Source organism: Homo sapiens, chromosome 5 (genome assembly GCF_000001405.40).
Source record: "Homo sapiens chromosome 5, GRCh38.p14 Primary Assembly".
NCBI lineage: Eukaryota > Metazoa > Chordata > Mammalia > Primates > Hominidae > Homo > Homo sapiens.
Genome location: NC_000005.10, coordinates 5,490,987 through 5,501,647, shown reverse-complemented (window position 1 = coordinate 5,501,647; position 10,661 = coordinate 5,490,987). Strand labels below are relative to the sequence as shown.

Sequence of the window (10,661 nt, the reverse complement as noted above, 5' to 3'; positions counted from 1 at the left end):
TAAATGTGGTAAATAAAATATACACAAATTTTGTAAGTCTGCCTCTAAGCACAGTTTGTTGTTCCTGGAAATTCTCTCATGATGTTTTATTTGTTCTTTTATTTCTCATCTGCTTAGGATTGTGTGGGTAGGAGTATGAATTCATGATCCTTGGAACTTCATGTGTGGGGATCTTTTAAGGACTGGAATCAAAATAACTTCCCTGTAGTGAAGATTTGCAACTGCCTTTGCAGGTCCTCGATGGTACTTCTAACCTGGGATCACTGAAAACACATTTTGGGGGAATTGAGCCCACTAGCAGTATATATTCCTGTCCCAAATTCATGAGTGCAGGCCTTTGGGTAGAAATTCTTCTGGGAGATATTGCTGTTTGTGTGTGCTTTTTTCTCTGATCCACCCACAGTTAGGTTAACAGTAGGTTAGCATCCCTATCTTCTTCCTCTTTGGGGGCTTTTTTTTTTTTTTGGCTTACCCCCAAGATATCTCCCTATGTGAGACTTGGCTTTTGGGGGTGGGGTTGTCGCTGATATGACATCCCCTAATTTTGGCCCCAGACTTTGTCTCCATTGCCCTTCTATGTGGCCTGTAACCTTCCATCTGCATCCCACCCGAGACTGTCTACATCCCACCCTGTTCAAATCTAGGGCAAATGGTTTCAGTGCTCCTTTCTCCTGGGGAGTTAAGCTTTCTTGTCCTTTCTCACTTTGAAGAGATTCCTTTATTTGCTGCTAGCTCAACTGTGCATTAAAAATATTTTAGTACATGCCTGTAATCCCAGCACTTTGGGAGGCCGAGGTGGGCAGATCACAAGGTCTGGAGTTCGAGACCAGCCTGGCCAATGTGGTGAAACCCCGTCTCTACTGAAAAATACAAAAATTAGCTAGGCATGGTGGCAGGCACCTGTAGTCCCAGCTACTCAGGAGACTGAGGCAGGGGAATCGCTTGAACCCGGGAAGCAGAGATTGCAGTGAGCTGAGATCGCACCACTGCACTCCAGCCTGGGTGACAGAGTGAGACTTCATCTCAAAATATAAAAGTTAAATATATATATATTTTAGTCAGCATCTTAATCATGCTATTAGTCTACAATTCTGCAGAAACCCCCTCTTTATTTTTGACTTCTACTGGGCTCTACTGACAATGAGTGGGCAGGTTTGTGGTTTCCAGGAGTACCCAGGGATTATGGATTTAAAGCACATTTCAGGCTTCATCTAAGAGAGGTGAAGATGTTTGCCCTTCTTAGACAAGGGAGCCAGGCAGTCCTCTGCAGGTCTACCTTGCAGAGCATCAACAGGGGAAGCCTGCTCCTTCCTCAGGACGCTGGTCCATTGCAACTGTAAAAATATTCTGTTTTAAAAATATTCTCTTAAAATGATTTTTATATTAGTCTTTATTTTGGTCACTGTAAATGTTGACCTGAATATGGATATGACTAAATTTAAAAGTAAATGTATCATTCCTGCAAACTGACTTCTACCCAAATTAAACTTCAAACTAGTCCTAATTATTTTCTCAAAATGCTTAGCAATTATTTCTAATTTTAAATGAATCAATAGGTAGAAATATATATATTACTATCTTTTTACATGACCACTAGAAATTGTGTGTGTTAACTGTTCTTTGAGGTTTTTGTGAGAAAACATTTTGGTTGACTAAGTCCATGCAAGTTTCAGAACTGAGAAGGGAAGTGTTTAATCAAATCTGGAATTATATAAAAAGGTTGTGAAATTATCTGGGGTAAAATCTATTGAATAAGGTGGATATAATCTTGAAATCCTTAATGTGTTTTGTTCTTTTTTCTTGCAGAAAAAGAAGAACCTCACATATGAATGCATACAATATGGCAGTGAGAAGGGGCAATGCACCCAGGAAAAAGGCAGGCTCCAGAGAACAGGCAGAGAGACCTAGTTTGCAACTTCTGTCTGCCACTCACCGGCTCTTGCAGCATGGCTCTTATGCCATAGGCTGTGCACGGTGAAATCTGCCTCGGGATGGCTGCTCTGAGCACTGTGCCTGGTGCCCAGGTCCCCAGGCAGCCGAAAACACACTGCTTTTGCTTTCCACGCACAAATGTGCCTCATGTGGTCAATTCCCGGGACCTGCTCTACAGGCCCAAGGTAACCAGCATCTTTCTTCTTCCAAGAGATGATGGAAATGACTATAAACCAAGTCTAATCTTTCTGCCACTTTTTGTCGTTTCTTTCCCCAGCTTAAGATGGTGAAAACACAGGGTCTGGGGGAGAGGAAACACATTTTATCTTAGGCCATTGGGTACTTCATGAGGATATTGGAATCAGCAGGCAGGTTTAGAGAATCTGCTTCGTGCTTTTCACAAGTCCACATTTTCATTGATGTTAAGGTCACTTAGCCTGCCTGTGCCTCAGCTTTAGAAGCAGATACAATGATAGTAATATCTGATTTTCAAGCATGTTCTAAGGAAGACAGAGATTGAGTATTCCTTGGTTTAAAAGAAAAACCAAGTTAGTTCTGAAAAACTCTTTATCAAGCAAAGATTTTTGTAATGCCTAATTAGTTAAAATTAGTGGCATGAAATTACTTCAATAATTAACAATATTGTAATATCTATGTTTAAACTTGAAAATTTCATGTAAATCCCTGCCCATTCCATCCCCATAAAACAAAATGAAAATCAAAGATAAAGGCAAAAGAAAGCGATCAAAATTACTTCATCTCAATAGTGAAAGACTGCTAATTCTATAAACTAACAAACCACCAGGACCTTGCCAGAATAACAAAATGCAGTGCGGTTTTGTTAATGCAAAGAAATGTCTTTTTTCTGTGTGTGTTTTGCTTGTTTGTTGTTTTTTTGAGACAGAGTCTTGCTGTGTTGCCCAGGCTGGAGTGCAGTGGCATAATCTTGGCTCACTGCAACCTCCACCTCCCAGGTTCAAGCAATTCTCCTGCCTCAGCCCCCTGAGTAGCTGAGGTTACAGGCATGCACCACCACGCCTGGCTACTTTTTCATATTTTTAGTAGAGACGGGTTTCACCATGTTGGTCAGGCTGGTCTCAAACTCCTGACCTCAGGTGATCCTGCCTCAGCCTCCCAAAGTGCTGGGATTACAGGCGTGAGCCACCGCACCCAGCCCAAGAAATGTCTTTTGAGCGGAAATGTCTTGTGAGGTCAAATTCTCATTATCTGAATGGACATTTCTTGGGGGCACTGTATTTTGTGTCGAAAAAAAGTTTTAAGCCCTACCAAAAATTTGGGGATGACTCTTATAAAAATATGATTTATGATACACTTGTCTTGTTTCATAATTGCTACACCAAGACAAAAGACAATTACCAGGGGTGCAAGGAGCCCCATGAAGCCATGAGAAACTATAGGTGCTCCCCTTTCCACCTCGATCTGAAAGACATGCAAGTATTCCTAACCCTTTTTAACAACAACAATTCCAGGCAAGTTATATTGCGATTATTTTTTAATAATCACTATCACAATAATACAGACATTCCTGTAGGCTAAATGCCTTTTAATAAAGGACTCTATCATCTTTCCCCAGAGACTTTTTTTTTTTTTTTTTTAACCAAAGGAAACGTAGTGGTCAGAAAACACAGGGCAACAGGCCAGGAAGGGCTTTCTCCTCACAGCTGCACACTTTCACTCGCACAACCAAGTCTTCCTGAGCAGGGGGTGCGCAGGGCTCTCCTTTCTGGAGGTCAGATTCGGGTTGTCCAAACATTTGCCAATGTGACTGTGGTTTTCCATTAAGATATAGTGAGTCTTGGATTATCTGCGAGTGGTCAGGGTGGGAGCAGGTTCCTTGGCAGGTGGGAGAGGTGCCCTGGGGCGGGCAGAGCGCTGGGCATGTGCAGTTTGGCCATCCCACAGGGTCAGTGACTCTGCAACCCTCCTTCAAAACACGGTGGGGCACAGCAGGATGCAAAGACACAGAGACAGATTACTTCATCGCAAACATGCTTTTGCCTCTGAACTCCAACTCCTGAAACATTCCAAGGTGTTATTTTCTTACAAAACTGTTGCAATATTCGAAAAGTATCTAATTTCTCAATGCTGTCTGTAAAGCTCTTTATTGGAAGTTCCCTCTCAAGCGCTTTAGAAGCGTTGCCGCCACTGGCTCATGCAGTCTTTGCTTCTGTGGAAACGGCCCCTTTGAAATATACATGAGGAACATGTTTGAAAAAAGATGGCATTGGGTGGATTTGAAATACGCCTTTTGTTTCTTTTCTTTCCTAAGCCTGTTCTTGGTCTGAAGAAGGAGAGCTTCCATATGAAAGAACCGTTTTGAGAGCCAGGGTTCATGATCAAAGCGCAGAGCTCTCCCTGCTGGGGAGGACAGGCGGCTGCAGGGCTCACGTGGGCACCAGAGCCGGGGAACTGAATCAACATTATTTCCCACTAAAAACACTTGTATGGGGTTAGTAATAACAGTAACCAAAAAATCAGCTTGGGAAGCCAGGCATAGCATGTTTTTTGTTTGTTTGTTTGTTTTAGTTTGAAGATTTCTGTCTCCCTGACTCCTTTCTCTTTGCTCACTCGGGCATATTGTGGAATTTAAATGAAAAGAATTGTCAGATGAAAGACAAAATGAACCTCAACCTGTGAATAATAATAATAAAAAAAACCCTTCACAATTGCATAGCTTTTTTCTTAAGTGCATTAAAAAATAGATACGTAGAGCTAAAGAAAGCCAGAAATAAGGAAAGTAAGCTTATAGTTCCTAGAATTATATTCACGTTACTTTAGTTTATCCAATGCCAGTGCTTCTATTTAGAAATTAACATGCTGCACTTCAAAACTGCGTCAAAATCCAGAAAACTTACTTTCTCATCTCGAAGCAAGTTTTACAAACACAAAGATGCATTTAAAACATTATTCCGGATGATTGCCAATGTGATAGGGGTTAAATTTCTGTCTCTTAAAAAATACGAAATAGAAAAGGTCAGGAGAGAGTGCTTTAAAAATTCTATTTTCTGCTCCACTGCAGACTTAACAAACAGATTTTCAACATGCAAATAAAGGATGGCCCTCCGTTACAGAAATTCAGAACAAAAGTTGTTGGAACCCTCGGCTTCGACTGCAAGTCACAATTTCCCTCCTTCCATGAAGGTGCAGCAACCACAATGCAGATGGCTCTCCTGGACAACGGAATATGTTTCCCGTTTCTCAAGCAGGAAGAATAAGTATGTAATTGGCATTCTGGAGAATGACCTGCAAGAGAAGCTCATTGTTTCATAAAGCACTTTCGCATTTTAAGGTAGGCACAGGGTCCTGTTTGGTTTTCTCCTCCTTGGCGAACACATGTCTCCTGGAACACAGCGACACAGCTCTAAAGAGCATCGCTGCTGCCAGGGCATTGTGAGCTCAATTCTGCATTTACAGATGTGTTTCCACACTAACAAGGCCCTGGATTAAGTAAACATCCTACAATTTGTAGGTTCTTCCGCCTTGTAGACCATTTCCCCTTCTTCCCGGGACACGAGGGGTGATTTGAAAGAGAAGCTTATGAACAGCTTCTGAGTGACTAATGGGAGCGTCCTGGAATGGCTGGGGTGGCTCAGGATCACCTGTTCGATAGGCTCAGGACCCTGGAGCTTTCCCCATACACCTTTTTTATGTCTGAGGCAGCTGTAGGGCTGACAGAGAACCTCATTTAGCAGAAGACATTCCTGTAGGCTAAATGCCTTTTAATAAAGGACTCTATCATCTTTCTCCAGAGACTTTTTTTTTTTTTTTAACCAAAGGAAACGTAGTGGTCAGAAAATACAGGGCAACAGGCCAGGAAGGGCTTTCTCCTCACAGCTGCACACTTTCACTCGCACAGCCAAGTCTTCCTGAGCAGGGGGTGCGCGGGGCTCTCCTTTCTGGAGGTCAGATTCGGGTTGTCCAAACATTTGCCAATGTGACTGTGGTTTTCCATTAAGATATAGTGAGTCTTGGATTATCTGCGAGTGGTCAGGGTGGGAGCAGGTTCCTTGGCAGGTGGGAGAGGTGCCCTGGGGCGGGCAGAGCGCTGGGCATGTGCAGTTTGGCCATCCCACAGGGTCAGTGACTCTGCAACCCTCTTTCAAAACACGGTGGGGCACAGCAGGATGCAAAGACACCGAGACAGGTTACCTCATCGCAAACATGCTTTTGCCTCTGAAGTCCAACTCCTGAAACATTTCAAGGTGTTATTTTCTTACAAAACTGTTGCAATATTCTAAATGTGACTATTATTCAAAAATCAAAATGTTTACTTTATTTGAGGTTTTGCTACATTTTTACCAAGGATAGTTTTAAGAATCTCGCTGGTGTTGGCTTGGACTCGGGGATCCCGGCACACACGTCCAGCAAGTGTGGGGTTCCAGCACAGCCGCCGTGGAGGATCTGGGGCACAGGGGCCTCAGGCCTGACAGCGCCCGGTCCCTGGCGGCGAGCCAGGAGGCGCACCCCTAGAGGAAGCTCCTGCATCCCAAATCCTAAGCCCCGCGCCAGCGAGCCTTCCCGCAGCCTGCCCAGCAGCTTCGCTTCCAAGGGTCACGAGCTTCCCCAAGTAACCCGAAGCCCACGGAGGCCTCGACCCTTCCACCCCAGGGGACAACTTCCCCAGTGGAAGCGCACGCACAGGGCCGGAGTATGCACTGGCAGGAATAAGTAGCTGAAGAGGGCAGAAGGAGGCACCTCAAGTTTTATCCACCTCTGCGACGACTGTAAGTGACCAACGCGCAGGGAGTGCAGCACGGCGAGGTCACTGTTAGGCACCTGCCGGCAGGCCTGCGGGGCGGGGTTGCAGAGTCGGAGGCGGGGCTGTGGGTTCGGAGGTGGGGCTGCGGGGGCGGGGCTGCAGAGACTGGGCTGCAGAGATGGCGCTGCGGAGGCTGGGCCTGCGCTGCGGGTTCGCAGCTTCGGGTACCAGGATTGCAGGGGCGGGGCTGCGGGGGCGGAGCTGCGGGGGCGGGGCCGCTGGGCCTCAGGGCCTCAGGCTACGGGCGGGGCCGCCAGGGCGGGGCTACGAAGGCGGTGTCCTCAGCCCTGAGACCTCCATCTGCCCGGGCATCTCTGCGAGGGCAGCCAAAGACCCGCCAGTCAGTGCAGCCCCGGGAGAACAGGGCCTGGGCGACAGGGAGAGGGCATTCCAGTGCCGACCCGTTTCAATGTTTAATTTGCTATATGCATACAATAATACACAGGCAAGAGGAGGCTATTCAAGAATAGTATATATTGCATTACAAGTGAAACTATTAAAATGGATATAGTATAACAATAATTAATACAGAGAAACAATACCTAGGAGGGTCCGTTTATGGCTGTGGAAGGTCTGGTAGTTGAGGGTTTACATTCTCAGCTCCTCGCCTTCCCTTTTGAGTTTTTCAGTTGTGTACTCGTAATTTAGGGTGAGGTTATCTCAGAGCAGCAATTGATGACTGTTAAGGAAAAAGTAATATTCTTAAAGACTATGGGAAAAATTAAAAACAAAACCAGCTAGGGACTGGATTCAGTTCAAGGTGGTGGAAGGCAGTGAACAGCTTACCTTCTCCTCTTTCCAAATTTCCATGGAAATGGATCAAGGGATGGGACGGTGGGGAAAGCCATCTAGAGACCAGAGCTGTGACCCTCTGAAGACAGAAAGCAGCTGAGAAGGCAGAGGCCGCTCAGGCAGGGGGAGGGTGAGCAGACCTCGGGTGCAGAACAGAGCAGGCCGCAATGCTCAGAGAACTTACTGGGCAGTGTCTACCCAACTGCTGGGGGCATCCATGTCACCGGGAGGCACCCCCGGAGTTTCAAACTCAAGGGTTTTGGGTGAAGCTCTAGAATCTCCAGTCCTAAGAAGCCAGGTGTGATTTAGGCTCCCCACTGCCGACAGGCCCCGCGAAAGGTGCAGTTAAGAGAATGGCTGATGAGAGCTGGGCTCCAGGGTGAACGCTGGCACCTTGACACCCTGATGAGACACATCTTGTGTGCTTTGGAAGACAAGGTGGCCTGAGCCAAGGCATTCCAAGGTACTAACGTCCTTCACAAAAACACAAAGTTCTTCATGAAAGCAAGCAAAAGCATTCATTTTCATAGAAAACTGAATTATATCATTTTTATGGCTCTTCACTCACACTTCTGTTTTTGCCTCTGTCATCAGAACCTATTTCGTTGTGCAAAACAAACTGACTACAATACAGTGAGGGCGCTTTAATTCCTCAAAATTCCCCTTGGAGGGGCAAGAAAATGAACTTCTTGTTTCACAATTATGCACTCTGAATTTCCTTGAGAAAGCGTCAGGTAGATGGAAGCAAGCAAGAGAGGAAAGCATTTACAAGTTTATAGATCTGACTTTTTCAACTTTCTCCTAAATTTTTAAAACACCCCTCATTGAAACATTGTTGCATCCTAAGTCTTAATGAGGGCGGTTGATTAGATTTCCAGGTGTGAGCTCTATTCGCACTATAAATTCTTTGTAATATGGTTCTACACAAGATAATGCGTCAGGGATGCTTGAAAAAAGTAATGTTCAATGTGGGCAGGATGACTTAATTGACTAGTTTCTTTGCCTGCCAGTTCATCAGAGGAGAGTGACACAACCTGCCATTCACTTCACTGCCACTACCAATTACTCACCTGGTCACTTGCTTGTCTTTCTCCTTCCTTCCTTCCCTTCCTTCCTTCCTTCCTTCCTTCCTTCCTTCCCTCCCTCCCTCCCTCCCTCCCTCCTTCCTTCCTTCCTTCCTTCCTTCCTTCCTTCCTTCCTTCCCTCCCTCCTTCCTTCTCTTTCCTTTCTCTTTTTTTCTTTCTCTTTTTCTTTCCTCTTTCCTTCCTTTCTTTTTCTCTTTCTCTTTCTTTTCTTCTTTCTCCCTTCCTTCCCTTTCTTCTTGTTGTTTTTTGATCAAAGGACTTAAGTATTTGCTTTTTTCTTTTTTGAAATGTGCTCTTAAACACGAACTTTACATGTTATTCTATCCACACATTTTCCCCATTTACTTATTAATAATGGCCCTAGGAAGTGCAAGGAACACCCCAAACGTGAATGGAAATGCTTCCCTGATAGAAAGGCTCTCAGAGCGCCAAATTCTGCACCCAGACGACCTCTCCAGTTAAGGTTCCCTGTCTCTTCCGGATGGTTTGTTCATGGGTGAGTCTACAGTGCCCTCTAATGGCTACAGTGCAGTTCTTTCCAAGTCCAGGTATGAATTTATTTCTATTTCATGTTCCTTAAATATTGAACTTGCTGAATTACACTGCCACATCCTATTTTAAAAAACAAACAATGTAACAGAGTACTTTCTCTGTGAAAAATGACACTCCGAAGTGTGTAATCATCTTGCTGTCCGTCCACACTCTGTTGACCATTTTCACCCTCTTCACTGCTGCCCTGGCTTCCCACGCAAATACCATCATGTGCAGACGCTCCGAGAATCTCTGCCTTTGCCCAGCGCAGCCTGATTCAGTGTCTCCTGCTTACCTCTGCACTGAAAGGCTTATCAAGCTGCAGGGGAACCAGCTTGAGCCGCCAAGCACCAGTTGAAAGCCTCATCTAACTCCAGGCTGAAAAGTGTTCATTTTTGTGTTTACAGTTTTAGTCTTTTTTTTTGGTTCAAGTAATAAAACGTTAAAATAATGTTCTGTTTCGGTACTAGAAATTAATAACAGCTTAAAACCTTTCCACTCTCTGGGGATAACACAGTACAGTGGGCAACTTCAAGCCTATTATTTGTCGTCATCAGTTCATATGGAGTGGATGCTGCCAAGTAAACTCAAGGAACAAGTATGGCAAGCAAAAGTCAGCACGGGTGCTAATAAACGACAGTGCCCCTCCTCTCCATTAATTAAAAACACATACGACTGCTGAGGTTTAACATGTTTGAACCACCTGACAAATCCACTCACTAAGCACAATTTCCACAAACTCAGTGGACCACGCCCTGCTCTTCTCTCTTCCTTACTTCCCACTCCCTGTGCCACCCATTCCAAGCCCATCAGTATGTGGGAGATGCTCACCAAGGTCACTCACCTCACCTGACCTTGCAGCTTCCAGCCACATCGGTAGCCAAGTGCCTGGACAATACATGACTGACAAGTTTCCTCCCAAAACACCTCCTGCCCCGTCTTTCATCTTCTCCCTCTCCCATGGCACTTCAAATTATAGGAGGGACTGGGGGGAAGTTATTTTTCTCCCTAGGTGAACGCAGAAATACACACACAGAGCTTTAAGTAGTCTCCATATGCTATCAACTTCCAAAGCTCTGTCACATCCCTTCTATATAGTTTTTCCTGTAAAGGTTCCCTGCCACCTCTCCTTGGAGGTCTTATGGTTCCCATGTCCCAAATGGAAAGCTCGAGTCGTGATTCCTACCACCTGTAATTCCTAAACCTGTGTGCATCTATCCCCAACTCCAGGTGCTCAACTCAGTAACCTGGACGTCTTCCCTGATTCTTCCCCGGAACTTCATGAACACAGCATCAATTCTACCCCAATAGATGTGAAGTCCATCTGCCCTTTGTCATCTGCACCCTCACAACCGTCAGCTCCCAGCTCCACCTGTTGCAGTCGCCTCCTAACAGGTCTCTCCACTTCACCTCTTGCCCTTCTCACATCCCTTTTCATCAGAACAGCTCCAGTGAACTATCGCACGTGACACCTCCACTCAATCTCCCTGGAGCCTCAGATGCCACTCAGCATGAAAGTGCTCCCAGCTGTCTTGAGTGAC

At 45.3% G+C, this 10,661-nt stretch overlaps 4 annotated features.

The window, feature by feature from the left end:
- Positions 3,308–3,830: an enhancer, noted in NCBI's record as "H3K4me1 hESC enhancer chr5:5497931-5498453 (GRCh37/hg19 assembly coordinates)". NCBI's record gives its function as "activates a minimal SCP1, AML or CMV promoter by ChIP-STARR-seq in primed H9 embryonic stem cells {active_cell/tissue: H9 hESC(primed)}" and the evidence as "EXISTENCE:reporter gene assay evidence [ECO:0000049][PMID:30033119]".
- Positions 3,831–4,355: an enhancer, noted in NCBI's record as "H3K4me1 hESC enhancer chr5:5497406-5497930 (GRCh37/hg19 assembly coordinates)". NCBI's record gives its function as "activates a minimal SCP1, AML or CMV promoter by ChIP-STARR-seq in primed H9 embryonic stem cells {active_cell/tissue: H9 hESC(primed)}" and the evidence as "EXISTENCE:reporter gene assay evidence [ECO:0000049][PMID:30033119]".
- Positions 6,696–6,775: a silencer, noted in NCBI's record as "silent region_15894". NCBI's record gives its function as "represses an Ori minimal core promoter by ATAC-STARR-seq in GM12878 lymphoblastoid cells {active_cell/tissue: GM12878}" and the evidence as "EXISTENCE:reporter gene assay evidence [ECO:0000049][PMID:35858748]".
- Positions 6,816–6,865: a silencer, noted in NCBI's record as "silent region_15893". NCBI's record gives its function as "represses an Ori minimal core promoter by ATAC-STARR-seq in GM12878 lymphoblastoid cells {active_cell/tissue: GM12878}" and the evidence as "EXISTENCE:reporter gene assay evidence [ECO:0000049][PMID:35858748]".